The 18,503-nt window shown below is 42.6% G+C and overlaps 2 protein-coding genes and 1 pseudogene across 2 annotated transcripts, besides 7 other annotated features; 1 reads left to right on the forward strand and 2 right to left on the reverse strand.

The window, feature by feature from the left end:
* Nucleotides 4,059-4,655: an enhancer, noted in NCBI's record as "OCT4-NANOG-H3K27ac hESC enhancer chr6:26269173-26269769 (GRCh37/hg19 assembly coordinates)". NCBI's record gives its function as "activates a minimal SCP1, AML or CMV promoter by ChIP-STARR-seq in naive H9 embryonic stem cells {active_cell/tissue: H9 hESC(naive)}" and the evidence as "EXISTENCE:reporter gene assay evidence [ECO:0000049][PMID:30033119]".
* Nucleotides 5,429-5,568: an enhancer, noted in NCBI's record as "active region_24227". NCBI's record gives its function as "activates an Ori minimal core promoter by ATAC-STARR-seq in GM12878 lymphoblastoid cells {active_cell/tissue: GM12878}" and the evidence as "EXISTENCE:reporter gene assay evidence [ECO:0000049][PMID:35858748]".
* H3C8 (H3 clustered histone 8) lies at nucleotides 6,032-6,527 on the reverse strand. Its single transcript, NM_003534.3, has one exon. The coding sequence runs from the start codon at nucleotides 6,496-6,498 to the stop codon at nucleotides 6,088-6,090; it is 411 nt and encodes a 136-aa protein (NP_003525.1). The 5' UTR covers nucleotides 6,499-6,527; the 3' UTR covers nucleotides 6,032-6,087.
* Nucleotides 7,296-7,635: an enhancer, noted in NCBI's record as "active region_24228". NCBI's record gives its function as "activates an Ori minimal core promoter by ATAC-STARR-seq in GM12878 lymphoblastoid cells {active_cell/tissue: GM12878}" and the evidence as "EXISTENCE:reporter gene assay evidence [ECO:0000049][PMID:35858748]".
* Nucleotides 7,307-7,654, reverse strand: H2AC10P (H2A clustered histone 10, pseudogene; annotated as a pseudogene).
* Nucleotides 7,966-8,305: an enhancer, noted in NCBI's record as "active region_24229". NCBI's record gives its function as "activates an Ori minimal core promoter by ATAC-STARR-seq in GM12878 lymphoblastoid cells {active_cell/tissue: GM12878}" and the evidence as "EXISTENCE:reporter gene assay evidence [ECO:0000049][PMID:35858748]".
* On the forward strand, nucleotides 8,045-8,526 carry H2BC10 (H2B clustered histone 10). Its single transcript, NM_003525.3, has one exon. The coding sequence runs from the start codon at nucleotides 8,090-8,092 to the stop codon at nucleotides 8,468-8,470; it is 381 nt and encodes a 126-aa protein (NP_003516.1). The 5' UTR covers nucleotides 8,045-8,089; the 3' UTR covers nucleotides 8,471-8,526.
* Nucleotides 8,376-8,505: an enhancer, noted in NCBI's record as "active region_24230". NCBI's record gives its function as "activates an Ori minimal core promoter by ATAC-STARR-seq in GM12878 lymphoblastoid cells {active_cell/tissue: GM12878}" and the evidence as "EXISTENCE:reporter gene assay evidence [ECO:0000049][PMID:35858748]".
* Nucleotides 8,516-8,565: an enhancer, noted in NCBI's record as "active region_24231". NCBI's record gives its function as "activates an Ori minimal core promoter by ATAC-STARR-seq in GM12878 lymphoblastoid cells {active_cell/tissue: GM12878}" and the evidence as "EXISTENCE:reporter gene assay evidence [ECO:0000049][PMID:35858748]".
* Nucleotides 8,976-9,135: an enhancer, noted in NCBI's record as "active region_24232". NCBI's record gives its function as "activates an Ori minimal core promoter by ATAC-STARR-seq in GM12878 lymphoblastoid cells {active_cell/tissue: GM12878}" and the evidence as "EXISTENCE:reporter gene assay evidence [ECO:0000049][PMID:35858748]".

Below are 18,503 nucleotides of genomic sequence, written 5' to 3' on the forward strand. Positions count from 1 at the left end.
GAATACATATATAGTAAATGTTTCTTTCAGACCTTTAAAGGTGTCAGACTCAGATTTTTTTTTTTTTTTTGAGAGGGAGTCTCGCGCTGTTGCACAGGCTGGAGTGCAATGGCACAATCTCGGCTCACTGCAACCTCCGCCTCCTGGGTTCAAGCAATTCTCCTGCCTCAGCCGCCTGACTAGCGGGGATTACAGACGCCCACCACCATGCCCAGCTAATTTTTGTGTGTTTAGTAGAGACGGGGTTTCGCTACATTGGCCCAGGCTGGTCTCTAACTCCTGACCTCAAATCTGCCTGCCTCGGCCTCCCAAAATGCTGGGATTACAGGCGTGAGCCACTGCGCCCAGCCTGGTGTCAGACACTTAATCTTTCCTAGATTGGACAAGGTAAAGCCTCAGAAAAAAACCCTGGCAGCACCAAAGCAGGTTTTCTCTACAGATGCACATCTCCACAAAAGGCAGCTCTGCAGGGCAACTTCTGTTTGCAGACCCTCCAAAGAGCCATCTCAAAATATGTCAAAGAAGTATACTTGGGGATGAAATAGTTGATTTCCTTCAGCCTTGTTGGCCTAAAAGAAAGATGCAGAGGCACAAATCATAACTTAAAGAATTTATGGCCGGGCGCGGTGGCTAACGCCTGTAATCCCAGCACTTTGGGAGGCCAAGGAGGGTGGATCACGAGGTCAGGAGATGGAGACCATTCTGGCCAACATGGTGAAACCCCGTCTCTACTAAAAATACAAAAATTAGCCAGGTATGGGGGCATGCGCCTGTAGTCCCAGCTACTCAGGAGGCTAAGGCAGGAGAATCACTTGAACCCAGGAGGCAGAGGTGGCAGTGAGCCGAGATCGCACCACTGCACACCAGCCTGGGTGACAGAGCAAGACTCCGTCTCAAAAAAAAAAAAGAATTGGCGCCAGGAACGGTGGCTCATGCCTGTAATCCCAGCACTTTGGGAGGCCGAGGCGGGAGGATCACAAGGTCAGGAGATGGAGACTCATCCTGGCTAACATGGTGAAACCCTGTCTCTACTAAAAATACCAAAAAATTAGCCGGGCATGGTGGCGGGCACTGTAGTCCCAGCTACTGTGGAGGCTGAGGCAGGAGAATGGCGTTAACCCAGTGAGCCAAGATCACACCAGCCTGGGTGACAGAGCAAGACTCTGTCTCAAAAAAAAAAAAAAAAAAAAGAATTTACTTGAGCCAAAGTCAGCACAGCAGCTCAGAAATCTCAGGCCCAAGTAATCTTGGATATGAGCTCCACTGGCCTTTGTTAAAAATAGGTTTTTAAAGGCAAAAAAGGGGGGACAGAAGGTGGGCTGATACAAAATTTTTTGTCAGGAATTTTCCTTGGTTTACAGAAATAGCATTAATTAGTTATTGGCTATACATTGTAAAGCTACAGGGTGTGGGTTACAGTGTGGGATGTGGCATTATTAGATAAACTTATAGCTACTTATAACAATAACAAGCAGTATCTAGAGATGAATACATAGCTCAAAGAGGGGAGTAGGTTGTGATTGCTGTCTCATTTTAATGTTACTGTGGGCCTGATAATTTAAAATGACTCCCATTCCTCAGATGAAAGTTATTTTCTTGGCCTGGTGTGGTAGCTCAGGTCTGGTAGCCCCAGCACTTTTGGAGGCCAAAGTGAGAGGATCCCTTGAGCACAAGAGTTTGAGACTTGCCTGAGCAACATAGTGAAGCCTCGTCTGTACAAAAAAAAAAAAAAGTTATTTTCTTTTCCCAGTCTTATCTCAGTTGTGAGTTCTTCCCCATCCACCATTTTTAAAATTACAGCTGTCTACCACATTCCCTCCTGTCCTCTGGCAGTCATTCCCTTTATCCATTTTAACTTTTCTACGTCTTTTTTATATAAGAATATACTAAACTCTTTTTTTTTTTTTTTTTTGAGACAGAGTCTCACTCTGTCGCCCAGACTGGAGGGCAGTGGTATGATCTCGGCTCACTGCAACCTCCACCTCCCAGGTACAAACGATTCTCATGCCTCAGCCTTCAGAGCAGCTGGGACTACAGGTACGTGCAACCATGCATGGCTAATTTTTTGGTATTTTTTAAGTAGAGATGGAGTTTCGCCATGTTGGCCAAACTGGTCTCGAACTCCTGACCTCAAGTGATCTGCCCACCTGGGCCTCACAGGCCATAGACTTTGTGTAACTTGTGTTTCTTTCTCCTAGATGCATCTTCAACCTTGGCAAAAATAAACCTGTGAATCAGTGGAGATCTGCTCGGTCACTTTTTGGTTTACACTATTGGGGAGAACAAAAGAAGTACAGAAAAGAGCTTTCACTCTTATGGGCCTGGTGATGCACCAGAAGATTCTATAAAGCAAGCTTTACTAACTACCCTTTATCTATGTTTGCTTTCCCCAACATTGCCGCCCCTGGACACTCAAAGTACTTCTCCTTCGTCTTCTAAATTATCTAAAAATTCACTGTTCTTTGTTGAAGACACTACACAAAAGCTGGAATTCAAAGCCACCTCAATGTGTACTCATTCCCTAGGTGTCATTCATGTATATGTAATATATATGTTAATACACTTCTGCTTGTTTTTCATTTGTGAATCTGTCTTTTGTTACATGGGTTTGTTTCAACTAAGAACCTGTGTGAGGTGGGAATTGAAGGGAAAATTATTCTGCCCTTTCTCCACCTTCATTTCCTACTGTCCCCTGCTCATTCCCCATAGTCACCATGGTGCCTCAGGAGTCTCCCTCCTTTTCTCCCTGAACACATCCGCACAGGTTGCTTCCTCACCTTTCAGCTCTTTGCTGAAATATTATCTTCTTAGTGGGGTCTTCATTGGTTGCCTTATCTAAATTTCAGCTTCCCATGACACTCCTTAGTCTTGCTCTATTTTTTTTTCCTTCTCACCATCTAACATATTACATAAACATATCTAGTTTATTTTCTGTCTATTCCAGACTCAAATGTAAATTCCATGAAAGCAAAAATTTTGTGTTTTGTTCTCTGGGTGTATTTCCAATGCACAGACCAGCATCTGGTACATTGTAAATTCTCAACCAGTGTTGTTTGCAGTAAATAAAAATCAATGTTGAAGAAATATGTCAACCAAAATGGATCATATTAAATTTTTAAAAAAGAAATACTATTTGTTATAAAAGTAATGATGGCATCATAATTTATTTTTGTTTTTATTTTTGAGATGGAGTCTCGCTCTGTCACCAGGCTGGAGTGTAGTGGCATGATCTTGGCTCACTACAACCTCCGCCTCCCAGGTTCAAGAGATTTTCCTACCTCAGCCTCCCCAGTAGCTGGGATTACAGGCGTGCACCACCAGGCCCGGTCCAGCTAATTTTTATATTTTTAGTAGAGATGGGGTTTCACCAAGTTGGCCAGGTTTGTCAAGAATTAACCTCATGTGATCCTCCCACATCGGCCTCCCAAAGTGCTGGGATTACAGGAGTGAGCCAAGGCACCTGGTCCATAATAAGGTGTTAAATAGCAGATAACATATATAAAATAGATGAAATGATATTGAAATTGTCATTGCAACATTGTAACTGAGACAAAGAGATCTGACCTAACCAACTCCATCTTGCTTCTAACCTTCAAGCTGTCCTTGTTCACTCCTGGGTGTAGGCTGAACTACCTTTGGGAGGAACTTAGTTTATAGTTTAAAACTAATATGATAACAGCCCTTTCCCAAAACAAACCTCCTTGCCTGGGGACTAGACTGCCTTTGTAGGACTAACAAATTACTCACAAGATTAGAAATTATGGTTTAGGGGTAGGTCGTAATGGCTCACGCCTGTAATCCCAACATTTTGGGAGGCGAAAGCGGGTGGATCACTTGAGGTCCAGAGTTCGAGACCAGCCTGGCCAATATGAGGAAACCTCGTCTCTACTAAAACTACAAAAATTGGCTGGGCATGGTGGCGCGCGCCTGTAATCCCAGCTGCTTGGGAGGCTGAACAGGAGAATCGCTCGAACCTGGGAGGCAGAGTTTACAGTCTCCATCCTGGGCAACGCAGTGAGACTGTCTCAAAGAAAAAAAAAAACACACACATTATGGTTTAGGAGTCCTGCAGCTGGAACCTACAAGATTCTGACCCCACGTAAACTGCTCCTAAGATCAGTGCTTGAGATATTTTGCAGACCTGATGGATCAGTTGGCCCCACCCAGATTGGTAAACTGACTCATCCGATCTTGTGGCCTCCACCCAGAAACTGACTCAGCCCAAGGAGACACCTTCAGCTCCCTATAATGACATCTCTGACCTGACCAATCAGGACTCCTGGTTCATCGGCTTCCCCCCCATCTGGAATGCTGGGGAGACTGATTTGAGTAACAATAAAACTACGGTCTCCCGCACAGCTGGCTCGGCGTGAATTACTTTCTCTATTGCAATTCCCTGCCTAGATAAATCAGCTTTGTCTAGGCAGTGGGCAAGGTGAACCCATTAGGCAGTTTCATTATTTGCTTTACAAAAATCAATAGATAAAACACTTAGCCAATGTTGTTATTGAAGCTGGATGAGAGGAACATAGGTTTTATTAAACTATTATCTCCTTTCCCATATATTCTGGAATGTCAAATAAGTTTTTAAAATAAAAGCAATATGTGAAAAAAAATGACAAGTTGCTAAATTAATAAAGATCATAAAGAAGGATCTGCTGAATACCCAAACAGGGCCTTGTGCTAATCTGTAAAGGAAGGGTTCTATATGAAAACATATCTTGGTTGTATGCCAAGCAGCCCAGGATGGTATGTGTTCCTCCTTGTAACATCCCTAAAAACCTGATACTTCCAATCACTAAAAGGACCTCGGTGGTTCAAAAAAACAAAAAACAAAACAAAACAAAAAAGAAAAAACTTACATTAGTGTTGCCCTAAGAAATTCTTATAAAAGCCAGGTGTTGAAAGATAGTCAAGCAAGCCAGAAAGTCTTTAGAGACCAGTATATTCTCTCTGAAGGCAAACTACAAGGAAACTGATTCAATTAGAAAACTGCTAAGCCTAGAGTCAAACCAGAGCTAATAAGAGTATTAAAATTTATGTAGCAAGGAGTCTCAGCCCCAGCTGTTAGAAGCACCTGAATTTTAATAATTACCATTCCCTGGGCCCACTCTAGATTGCTATTAGTCTCATTGAACCCCAGGTAAAGATTTTTCTAAAGCCTTCCCATGTGACTGTAATGTTACATTGAGAAAACTGATCTGTAAAGAAATCAAACTATTTTAGGGGATTGTTCTGTGCACTTGCTTTAGAGAACATTTCATAGAATATTTCATTCTGTAACATAAATAAACATGCATTTTGCAAAAGCTCACTCCTTGTAAGAGTTCACAGGCAGGATGCCTTTACTGATGAGACCAAAACCAACAACCTAGGCTTCCTAAATCAGTGTTCATGAGAATCATCTGAGGTATATGCAGATTGACTCCAGCCCTAGATGGGGATTGAAACAAGCTCCCATGTAATGCCCTGGGAGCTTCTAACAAGTTCCCACGTAATGCCCATGCTGCCAGTAATGTAGAGGCCAATCTGGCTTTCGTTTCTGCCGCCAATTTCTAATATTGAATTAAAAAATGGATCATTTCACAGAAAAACCAAGAACTGTTTAAAAAAAGGGGGAATTGTGGAAATAGCTGCTTCAGACACGAAAAAGCAGCAACCAAGGATATCCCTACCTACTCTCAACTGCCAATGCTCATACCTGTAAAGTTTTAAAAGGGATTAACCAGAAATACACAACGAAAAAAAATCCCATCTATAATGGGTGTAAGTAGACAACGCGACTAACGCTTGAGACAATGTATATAAACGCCCCCAGGTGGCCCCTTCCACTACCAAATCGAAGCTCCAAACCCCTAAAAGCCAGTTTAGAAAAGGACGCTGACAATCTGGCACTTTCGGGAAAAAGCACGGGAACAAATATAGCAAGCTTACCATTAACTTTAGCCAATCAAATGAGGACTTAAGTACTAAAACCAATGTTTAGTTTCAAAGATTTGATTAGTTAATCACAGCTATTTTCGGGTGAAAGTAGGCGGCTCTTAAAAGAGCCTTTTTAAGTTGGATAGAATTACTGCCCGGAAACCTCTACGCTCTCTCCCCACGAATGCGGCGAGCGAGCTGAATGTCCTTGGGCATGATAGTCACTCGCTTAGCATGGATGGCACACAGGTTGGTATCCTCAAAGAGCCCCACCAAGTAGGCCTCGCAGGCCTCCTGCAGGGCCATCACCGCGGAACTCTGAAAGCGCAGATCTGTCTTGAAGTCCTGAGCGATTTCTCGCACCAGGCGTTGGAAAGGCAACTTGCGGATCAGCAGCTCAGTCGACTTCTGATAGCGGCGAATCTCGCGCAGAGCCACGGTGCCGGGACGGTAGCGATGAGGTTTCTTCACGCCGCCGGTGGCCGGCGCGCTTTTCCGAGCCGCCTTAGTGGCCAGCTGCTTGCGCGGCGCTTTGCCACCGGTGGACTTGCGTGCAGTCTGCTTGGTGCGGGCCATCTCAGACTACCTGAAAGAAAAACTCAGCCACTTGGCAGAGTGGAAACTGCCCTTATATATACTCAGAAACATTCTAATTGGCCTTGTTGATTTTCAAAAGACCCGCGCAACAAAACCATTGGCTGAAGAGTCCAACGATGTGATTGGTGAATTACTGGAAAATCTGATTGGATGAATCACTTCATTTTTGAATCCTCTCTTCTCGGTTAGTCTGCGATCCAAGAACGTTAACTTCTTAAAGTTCTAATTCTGCGCTTCTCAAGCTGTAGTCCGTAAACGACTACTTTAAGACTTGGAAGACGCTAATTCTCATTCAGTAGATGTGTTGTGGGGCCAGATTCGGAGGACCACGTTTTGAGAAGTTTATCTTGTGCCGTTTTCTTGAGTCACCTGGACTGCTGCTAGCTGGAAACCTTTGACCATTATAAGGCAGGATTCCTGGGTGATGTACCTGGGAAATCACGAGCCAAGAAGTCACCGACATACAACAGTGAGCAACAAATGTTAACTGAATTCTATTTTGTCCCAAATGGTGTTTTGCTTCGGTTGAGAATTTTTAAGGCACAGGCTAATTTTAGGTTTTCCAACGACTCTTATCATTTACTTTTCGTTGGGTCCTATTGATGATATTCCAGGATACCACCCCCACTAGCCTCTTCTGCAGGATAACTTGAACACTGCAGTGGCCCTGTCCATCTAAACTTTACAAGGTTTTGTAAACGTTACTGAACTTGCTTCTTCCCGACTACATTAAAGCACTTACTTGAGATATTAAACATTTTCTCATTAGTCCTGTTTGCCTAGTCAGTCACTTGTATAGACAGGGCAACAGCACGGCCTGAATATTGGGCAGGACACCGCCCTGCGCGATAGTAACTTTGCCCAACAGCTTGTTGAGCTTCTCGTCGTGGATGGCGAGCTGCAGGCGTCGGGGGGTGACGCGGGTCTTCTTGTCTCGGGCCGCGTTGCCCGCCAACTCCAGGATCTTGGCGGTCAGGTACTCCAGCACCGCCTCCAGGTACACCGGCGCACCGGCCCGGACCCGCTTGGCGTAGTTGCCCTTGCGGAGGAGGCGGTGCACTCGGCCCACAGAAAACTGGAGACCAGCCCTGGAAGAGTGCGTTTTAGCCTTGGCGCGAGCTTTGCTGCCCTGCATTCCACATCCAGACGCAGTGAAGTATTTAAATACTTGTTTAGAAGAAGGAAAGTGATTGATTCTAGTAAAACGCAAGAGCTAAACTCTTATAATCTATATTCGGCAAAGTAGACTGTGCTATCTCCTGAACACAGATTTCAGCCAATCGAAAAGCAGGTGTTTAAAAAAATTTAAAAAAAAAAAAAAAAAAAAAACCACTTCTGACTTACATACTTATAGTTGAAAGGTCAAATTATGCAAGGTTGAGCTTCTGGGAGAGCCGATGAGATTTAGGAGTTCAGAAATGGCCTATCATATATTCAGACACTAAAAGAACCAATGAGAAACCGAAACTCAGCCAGCCTCATTTGCATATACACGAGGTAAATAATGAGGGCGTTTGGGCTCACCAGCATTTTCCTGTGGTCATTTGACGGTATCACTTCGGCTGCGAACATGCCTGAACCAGCTAAGTCAGCTCCCGCCCCGAAGAAGGGCTCCAAGAAGGCGGTGACCAAGGCACAGAAGAAGGATGGCAAGAAGCGCAAGCGCAGCCGCAAGGAGAGCTATTCCGTGTACGTGTACAAGGTGCTGAAGCAGGTCCACCCCGACACCGGCATCTCGTCCAAGGCTATGGGGATTATGAACTCCTTCGTCAACGACATTTTCGAGCGCATTGCAGGCGAGGCTTCCCGCCTGGCGCATTATAACAAGCGCTCGACCATCACTTCCAGGGAGATCCAAACGGCTGTGCGCCTGCTGCTACCCGGGGAGCTGGCCAAACACGCGGTGTCGGAGGGCACCAAGGCGGTCACCAAGTACACCAGCTCCAAGTAAACTAGTTACCTGGGTAAAAGCGCTAACGACCCAAAGGCTCTTCTAAGAGCCACCCATGTTGTCATTTAAAGATCTGTAATTTTCCAGACTTGGCATTGGCAAGGTAAAATGGCTAAGCAACACATGGGATAGTAAGGGTTTACTGAAACATCCAAGTTCGGCCGGGCGCAGTGGCTCACGCCTGTAATCCCAGCACTTTGGGAGGCCGAGGCGGTCGCGTCACCTGAGGTCAGGAGTTCGAGACCAGCCTCGCCAACATGGTGAAACCCTGTCTCTACTAAAATATACAAAAATTAGCCGGGAGTGGTGGCAGGCAACTTAATCCCAGCTACTTGGGAGGCAGAGGTAGGAGAATCGTTTGAACCCAGGAGGCGGAGGTTGCAGTGAGCCCAGATAGAGCCATTGCACTCAAACCTGGGGTATAAGAGCGAGACATCTCAAAAAAAAATCCAGGTTCGTTGTTTTTTCCCCTATAGATTGTAAGCGTCACCAAGGAGTAAGCTCGTATGCAGCTTAATATGACACATTTCACTCAGCAGCTAAGGAAAAATCGTGTTCTAGATTGATCCCCACTTTTCTTCTCCCCGCACACCACCATCTTAAAATTTTGTTTTCGTTTTTAGTTTCACTTTATCATCCTATTGCCCTTGATTTGGAGTAGCCGGGTGGAAATCAAGTTTGGGGTAGTCTTAAATCTAAAATAAGGTCTGAGAAAGCGAAACTCGTCTTTTAGTTCGTTGTTAGCTTGCAAATGGTTGGAGCGGCATATGATGGAGGAAATCACCTCTGTTGGTTGCATTTCTAAACCATGGCAGATCGCTACCAGACGTTCTCATATCCCCCTTGCAAGTCCACTGATTTCTCTACAAATTTTACTGAGTTTATAATTACTGGATTACTTCACGTAGCTATACATATTACCTCTTGGCAAGATCAGGAACTCTACCATCTTCTTAGCTGAACATATTGAGGTTTAAGACAAAGAACAGGCAACAGGATAGCCTGAAGTTGGAGCAAAGAAATGAAAATTCCCGGTGCTACATTCAGACGCTTTTATCTGTAAGCCTTTTTAAGGCTCCAAGGACTGTGTTCTCCCTAAACCTCCTCCTCCGTGTCCTGGAACGACTTTGTCCACAGCTACTCCCTTTCTTGAAAATTCATTTTAAGAGAGGAGGGTTACAAGGAATTAACATTTGTGTGGTAGTCCTTAGAATGCATTATTTCATTCATTGATTTTTTTTTTCCTACAGTCAGCTGTGAAATGGAAGCTCCTCTTTTACAGGTGAATGACCTCAAGAATTAAGGTTAAGTAACTAGCCCCTTACACATAAATAAAACTGAGATTTGAATCTACTCTGATTCTAAGGATTACTTCCCACTGTTTGTTAGAGACCATCCCAAGCAGGAGCCTAGTTGCTGTCAGAGGAGTCAGGAAATTTAGGCTCAATTGTAATAAAAGAAAACTGGTCAGGAGATACACATATTCTTTGTTGCACAGCAAAGTCCTTACACCAGCAAAAGTTTCTTTTAAAAATAAAATAATATTAATGGTGACCTTTGGGCCCTAAAGATCACCTGGCAGCAAGTTTAACTTTTCTGAGCACTGTATTGTGGTGGGGAAAACATGGGCATTGTCAGTGTAAATGTGAGCTCTAAGATCTTATTTTCTATCTATTACCTACATGTCATTATCTGCAAATACCCACATAGCAGCTTACTGTGAACATTAAGTGACCAAAATTTGCTTTAAATTTTTTGTTTTGAGACAGGGTCTCACTTTGTCATCCAGACTGAGGTGTAGTGACACAACCACAGCTCACTGCATTCAACCTCCCTGGCTAGTGTTCCCACCTGTCTCCCAAGGAGCTGGCACTACAGGCACGCACCATCACACCCACTGAATTTTTTTTTTTTTTTAATGATTTTTGTAGAGCCAGGGTCCCACTGTGTTGCCCAGGCTAGTCTCAAAGTAAATTTGTAATGGAATTTGTGAAGAAAATTCTCTAAGCCCCAAATATAACTAAGGCATTCATTTCTTGCTCCCCAAAGCTAATTTTGAATACATTTTAAATTATATATTCATGAAATATTCAAGCATGGATTAAGGGGGACATCACTCAGGAAGTGATACAGTCCTGACTGATTGTTTCAATCCTAAGTTTGGGCAATTTATCTAATTCTTTTGTAAGCGCTTCCTTACCTGTTTATTCCAAACAGGAATAATAATTAGTAACTACTGCATGACATTGCTGGAGTGACGAATCAAAGAACACAGCTAAAGCACTTAGGACCGTGTCTGCACAGAGAATGACCCCCTAAATATTAGCTGTGGCTAAGCCTCTGGTTGAAGTGATAGGGAAGGTGCCTTTGGTCCTGCCCACATTTAAAGCCCAGAGTCCTAAGGCCTGGAATAATTAGCATTTGATGTGAAATGGGCTTCTTTGTCTGGCAGTGTAAATAATACTCTTTGAACAGTTCAATCCCATCTTTAAAGCCATTGTTTTCCTCTGAAGCATTTTGAAGACATCCTACTGCCTGTGGCTGTTTGATTTCCCTATCGTTGCTTGCCAGTTCAAGCAACGTGTCTCATATTTTCCAGGGACTGTCTCATGCCCTCACTGGAACTAGGAGTGCCCCATTTAATGGTCAGATGTGTTGAGTTGTAAGGAAACCTAGAAATTCACATGAGAAGTGCTTAGTACTTTTTTACTCTTTTTTCTTCCCAAGTTTCCTATTAACTTTGCTAACCTTGCTACATTTATTTTCCATCCATTTGTTGACTAGGTTTCCCTCATATACCTCCAAATCACAGCCCTGTTTTCAGATGAACTTCTGCACCTTGATAAGTATGTTCTTTAATTGGAACATAGGAAATTGGCTGGCTAACGAGGGCCACACTTTCCTGAATCCATTGTATCCCTGAGACATAGGTCACTTCAAAGGAAACTGATTGGTGTAAATTCCTGGCCTGAAAAGCTGAAGAACACCACCTCACCACTAGAGAAGTAACATCATTTTTAGGCTCTGATTTGAGTAGCTGCTACTATTGTATTTGTCACTCCTGCAGTAAATAATTTCTGAAAAGAACCAAGAAGTTACTATCTCCCATCTACCCTCAGCAGTGTGTATCTTGATGGCATTCAGAACATACTATCTCAAAATATGGCCCCTTGACATACTGAATATTTTAAGGTGAAAGAATATGAGAAGCATCGTGGGCAGGAAGGTCTCTCTGATTTTTCCCAACTCTTCTCCCCTGAAACAGGTCATAGGACCCTCATGGGTGAAAGAATATGAGAAGCATCGTGGGCAGGAAGGTCTCTCTGATTTTTCCCAACTCTTCTCCCCTGAAACAGGTCATAGGACCCTCATGAGTCCTAGAGAGTCTGAGAGAAATCTGAACAAAAAGACCTTGCTAGGTTTCTGTTTTACCCTTAGCTGACAGTCTTCTTTTTGTCCTATTATATTTCTGCATGACTCTCCACTCTTCATCAAACCTAGTGTAAAAATACTCAGGTTTACCCCTTCTCCAGGTCTTCATTTCCTTACGAAGCCTCCCATGTCATGTGAAATTTATATTAAATAAATGTTGTATTGTCCATTCTCACACTGCTATAAAGAAATAACTGAGACTGGGTAATTATAAAGAGAAGAGGTTTAATTGGCTCATAAAACCACAGGCTGTACAGGAAGCATAGCAGCTTCTGCTTCTGGGGAGACCTCAGGGAGATTTTACTCATGGCGGAAGGCAAATGGGAAGCAAGGCATCTTACATGGTGGTGCAGAAGCAAGGAGAGAGGTGGAGGTACCATACTCTTTTAAACAACCAGATCACAAAACTCACTATCCCAACAGCTCCAAGGGAGTGGTATTAAACCTTGAGAAACACCCCTGTGATCCAATGACCTCCTACCAGACCCCACCTCCAACACTGGGGATTGCAACTGAATGAGATTTGGGTGGGAACACAGATCCAAACCATATCAAATGTATATGCTTTTCTCTCGTTAATCTGTCTTTTGTTACAGGGCCCCAGCCAATGAATTTCAGATGGGTAGAAGGGAAAGCTGTTTTCTTCCCTACAGCACACAGTAGGTGTGGGCAGGCATCTGTGTTCTGTATGTCTGTCTTGCTAGGGTAGAGAAGCAGACGTAACACTGAAAAAATGCAGAGAAAAATAATCCCAGAATGAAAATGTTTGAGATGTGTATTCGTTTGCTAGGGCTGCCATAACAAAGTACCACAGACTGAGTGGCTTAAACATTTATTTTTTCACAATTCTGGAGGCTACGACTCTTAAGATTAACCCTGTGGGCAAGGTTGATTTCTTCTGAGGTCTCTCTCCATGGTGTGTCGATAACTGTCTTCTCCCTGTGTCTTCACATTATCTTTTCTCTGTGTGTGTGTCCAGTCTTCTTTACTTATAAGGACACCAGTCAGATTGGATTCAGACCCACCTCAATAACTTCATTTTATATCTTTAACGACCCTAACTCTAAATGCAGTCATATTTTCAAGGACTTCAACATATGCAGCAGGGAGGAGGGTAAATCAGTCTATAACAAGAAGTGCAGTAATTAGTCTTCCAAATACTATATGAACTAAGTATTCCACAGGTGGCTCAAACCCAGCAGGACCAAGACTGGCCTCATTATCCTCATAGCTCTGCTTATCCAAGTTTGAAATTTGGTCCTCATCCTAGATTACCACCATTCATTTTCATCATATATTTAATAATATACAAAATCCTATTCTATTGATTCTATTTTAACATATTTTTGTTTATTGTGGCTAAAAATTGGAAATATGTAGAAGAGCAAGAGTTTCACTAAAAATAGGTTTTATCAGGCCCGGCACAGTAGCTCATGCCTATAATCCCAGCACTTTGGGAGGCCGTGGTAGGCAGATCACTTGAGCCCAAGAGTTTAAGACAGCCTGGGTAACATGGTTAAACCCCATCTCTACAGAAAATACAAAAATTACTCCGGTGTGGTGGTGTGCACCTGTAGTCCCAGCTACTCAAGAGACTGAGACAGGAGGATCACTTTAGCCAGGGAGGCAGAGGTTGCAGTGAGCCATGATCCCGTTACGGCACTCCAGCCTGAGCAACAGAGAGAGACACTGTCTTAAGAGAAGAAAAAAGACAAAAATGGTTTATGCATAATGAAATACTGTGCAGCTATTAAAACTAACGTCAAAAAAATAAACATAAAATATGCTTGAAGGATAGTACTTTGGGAAAGGTGCCAAATCATATATTCTCATTTATATTAATATATCATATACATGTGTAGTATAGTTAGTTACAGGAAAAAAAACTGACTAGAAGGCTCAATGCCAAAATGTAAACAATTCTGTTGCATTCTTTGGGATGAAAGGATCAGCTCCTCTGGAGAGAACTTTCTCTATTTGGCTGTCTCTAAAACTCCCAATAGTGTAGTTAGGAAAAAGGAAGTTCTCCATTAAGCCCTTTCCTTTTCCAAGTTTCTCTGTCCTGTGTTAAGAAAAATAAAAGTATTTTTTTCTTTTTTCTACTGCCTCCATATTTGCAGGAAAAAAAATTAATTAATTATTGGACACCAACTATGTATACAGTATTATTCTAGGTTTGGTATATAAAAAATTAATAAGATAATTGTAAGATACAATTGCACACTAAGGAAATTGAAAAACAAGGCAAGAGACAAGTATCCTAACATTACAGGAAAGAATAGAATAAGATTAGTGAACCACTTAATAATCCATGTGACTCTAAGTATATGTTCTTGTTTATAAAATAATGCACTAGTGACCTCAAAGAGGATCAAATGGGAAAGTCAAGCAAAACTTGCAGTATTAGTGTAAGGACCAGAAAAGCATAAGGAATTTTAATGCCAAGCAAGCAACATTTCAAGGCAATGGCTACCTCCAGGGGAAGTAGTGGGAGGATGAGAGATGAGGTCAAAGTTGTTATTTGTAGTATTTGTTATACCTGGTTGGCAACTGGGTTCAAGCATGGTCATCATATTATCCTTTATAACTTGGATGTGGATTTAATACTTTTTTTTTTTTTCAGACGGAGACTTGCTCTGTCATCTAGGCTAGAATGTAGTCGCAATCTCAGTTCACTACAACCTCCACTTCCTGGGTTCAAGCAATTCTCCCACCTCAGCCTCCAGAGTACCTGGGACTACAGGCACGCACCACCATGCCTGGCTAATTTTTGTGTTTTTGGTAGAGATGGGGTTTCACTATGTTGGCTAAGCTAGTCCCGAACTCCTGACCTCAGGTGATCCACCTGCCTCAGCCTCCCAGAGTGCCAGCATTACAGACATGCACTACCATACCTGGCCTTACATTTTTTTTTTTTTTTTGATACGGAGTCTTGCTCTGTCACACAGGCTGGAGTGCAGTGGCACAATCTCAGCTCACTGCAAGCTCCGCCTCCCAGGTTCACACCATTCTCCTGCCTCAGCCTCCCGAGTAGCTGGGACTACAGGCACCCGCCACTACACCTGGCTAATTTTTTGTTTTTAGTAGAGACGGGGTTTCACCATGGTCTCGATCTCCTGACCTTGTGATCCGCCCACCTCGACCTCCCAAAGTGCTGGGATTACAGGCGTAAGCCACTGCGCCCGGCCTACATTCTTTTATATATATCTAGAATTATAAATTTTAAAGCAAATAAAGAAACAATAATGAACAAATGTATTCACGGAAAAGTCATCTCACCTTCCATAAAAATACAGAACCTCCATAAATATTTCTGGTATTAGAAATTTGGTTATACAAAAGGCAATCTCCCCTTATACTCAAAGTCTGTAGATACTCAAAAGACCAGGCACTTTACAAAAATCACTGCTAATATACAAGACTTGCTGTGTAAAGGATAATTCTTGAAATATCTTCCTTTTCTGCCAGAAGGACATAACCTAAAATGTACACTAAAGTATATCATTTTGTCAATTGTAAATTTAGATTTATGTACACTAAAGTATATCATTTTGTCAATTGTAAATTTAGATTTATATTCATTTTATTTATATTCATCTAGGCACTTATTAAGATAAACACATAATTTGAGTCTAATATGCTCAGTGCAAAAACTAGTTTCATGAAAGATGCTAGAATTGTGACATAATCAGAACCAAAGCAGGGAGGGGAGATTTTGTATGGTTCTCTGCTGTCCAGAATAAAGTCTACATTCCTGTCATTGGCCCAACAGGCCTCCAACATCTGGCACCAAGCCAGGAACTATCACTTCTGATACTGACTTGAATTACACTCATCTGACATTCCATATAATATTCCATTCCTGCTTTCCTTTTCATAAGGATATGTTTTCACTCTCCAAATAGACTGCAGGATCCTTAGGAGCAGGGAAAAATATAGTGGGAAGGCCGTGAGGAAGGGAGCAGGATTGTAATGCCAGTGGGGTCACAACCAGCCTCACACAGAGGGTGTTATTTGAAAGAAGTGAGGCAGCAACACTTAAATCTAGAAGCTGAGTTGCCCACACAAAGGGAACTGTCAATATATAGTCCCTGAAAGATACATACTTACAGCAAGTTTGAGGCTAGCGGAGCTGCGCGAGGAAGGAAAGGAGTAGTGGGATTTGAGGCCAAAGAGATAACAAGAGCCAGAGTGTGGGGCCTTGCAAGGTACTGAAAGGACTTTGGGTTTTCTTTTTAGCGAAATGAGAGCCATTGGAGGGTTTTCAGCAGAAGAGTGACCTGATTTTATTCACCTTTTATTGGAAATCTGTGGGACAGAACTAGGCAATGAGGGTGCTACAATAATAAAGGTGAGTGTTGGCAGTGGCTTGACCAGAGCAGAAGTGGGAATGAAACAGTTGGATTCTGTTTGTTTTCAAAGAAGAGCTCATAGAACTTACTGATGGATTGTTATGTAGGATGTGAAAGAAAACCACAGAAATGACTCCAACTAAAACAGTAAAATGCCATTCACTAATTTCAAGATGATGAGAGAAGCTGTTTTGCAGAGATAATGAAAGAAATTCTGTTTGAAGCCTATTAAAGTTTGAAGTGCATATTAATTGGACTTTCAAGTTGAGATGTCAAGTAAGTAGCAGGGTCTCTGAGTATGGAATACAAGGCTGTGGGCTAGTGACTTAACGTCTGCAACATCAACATATAGGCAGCATCTCCATAGCAACAAACATCAGTTCAAAATAATCAGACAGATTTTCATCCTCCACGTCCATCTTCTCAGATCCATCAGGAGCCACAGAACTAAGGGAAGAAAAAAGGCAGCATCAAATACAGAGCTTTCAAGCTGAGATCCACAAATACGTTTCAGGAGGCCTGAGAACTCCTGGAATTGCAAGCAAAATATATGGGGAAAGTGGGCACATTTTGAAAAAGGTGTGAATATCTATCACTGGGTCTCCAAAGTAACCCCTTCATGGCTCTAACTTTAATAGGTTATTTGAATGAAAATTGCAATATTATTGCATACCCTTATTACCAAGGGCATTTTTCCACATTTGTAAAATAGGGATAACTTTTTCTGTTTGTTCCAAAAATTACAGAAACAGAATTACTAAATAAAGCACTTGTAAAACTGTAAGTTAGGAATCCAGATGTCGTATGTACAAAGCAAACATTCCTTACTTCCTTAACCCAGGGCCCAGTCCTTGCACTGCTTCTTCTTCATTATCAATCCTCTTTTCCTAACAGATATCATTTCACCTTCTGGCTTTTTTACCCTCATGGGAGTAAAAACTCAATCTATGTTTTCAGCCCAGACCTCTTTTCTGAAATCCAGATTTATATATCAAACTGTTTACTTTGTATCTTCCTCTTAGATATGTGTAATAAGCATCTGACACTCTCTCTGGATGTCCAAAACTAAGATATGGAATTCTTTCCAAAACTTGTTCCTTCAGTATTCTTCCCCATTTTAGCAATTGATACCTCCATTTCAGTTGCTGTCAATGAAATCACTGGAATCATCCATAAATTTTCTTTCTCTCATACTCTACACATTCAGTGACTCAGAAACGAACTATCAACCTTCTTTCAAAATAAACAAAGAATCCAACAACTTTTCACAGCCTCTACCACTAATACACTGGTCCAAGCCACTGCCATCTAAACTCCTTTATTTTAGTACCCTCCTAACTGGTCTCTGCTCCTATCCAGGTTCCATCACAGTTTATTCTTCATCAGGCATCCAGACAGCTCATTCTAAAATATAAATCAGATCAACTCAGTCCTCTGCTCAAAACCCTGAGTGGCTCCCACCTCACTAGGAATAAAAGCCAAAGTAGTTACACCGCCCATATAGGAACTGCTCGCCTCCATTTGCCTTTCAGACCTCATCTCCTTTCCTCTGCACCCTTCTCGCCTCCATTTGCCTTTCAGACCTCATCTCCATTCCTCTGCACCTCTTCTGCCCTTTTGCCCAGACACAATAACTCTCTGCTATCTCCAGGCTTTGCTACTTGGTCGTCTATTTGGAATATTCTCTCGTCTTTTTTTCTGCAACCATCGCTCTATCAGTAAAGCTTTCCATGACTCTATCATTTAAAATTATCACGTTCTCGACTGGGCGCGGTGGCTCACACCTGTAATCCCAGCACTTTGGGAGGCCGAGGTGGGCGGATCACATGAGGCAGGAATTCAGGACCAGCCTAACCCCATAAGTACTAAAAATACAAAAATTAGCTGCGTGTGGTAGCGCATGCTTGTAATCCCAGCTACTCGGGAGGCTGAGACACTAGAATTGCTTGAACCCAAGCGAGGCGGAGGTGGAATGTGCCGAGATCGCGCCACTGCACTGCAGCCTGGGCAACAGAGCAAGACCCTATCTCAAAAAAAATAACTAATTAAACATCACCTCCTCCCTCCACACGTCTTTAGCCTGTTTCAGTGATAGCACTTAGCACCATCTGATAGTTTCACTTACTTTGCGTGTGAAAGCACACCCAACAGACGCCATGCATACAGAAAATACTGTTTTGTTCACTGTCATTCACTCCTATACTTCTCAGAGCCATGAACAGTACCTGGCATACGTTATGTGCTCAATT

This window comes from Homo sapiens, chromosome 6, assembly GCF_000001405.40.
Source record: "Homo sapiens chromosome 6, GRCh38.p14 Primary Assembly".
In the NCBI taxonomy this organism is placed as follows: domain Eukaryota; kingdom Metazoa; phylum Chordata; class Mammalia; order Primates; family Hominidae; genus Homo; species Homo sapiens.

Bases quoted from the DNA above. Each gene is read 5' to 3' on its own strand.
- H3C8 (NM_003534.3), bottom strand. From the start codon at position 6,498: ATGGCCCGCACCAAGCAGACTGCACGCAAGTCCACCGGTGGCAAAGCG.
- H2BC10 (NM_003525.3), top strand. From the start codon at position 8,090: ATGCCTGAACCAGCTAAGTCAGCTCCCGCCCCGAAGAAGGGCTCCAAG.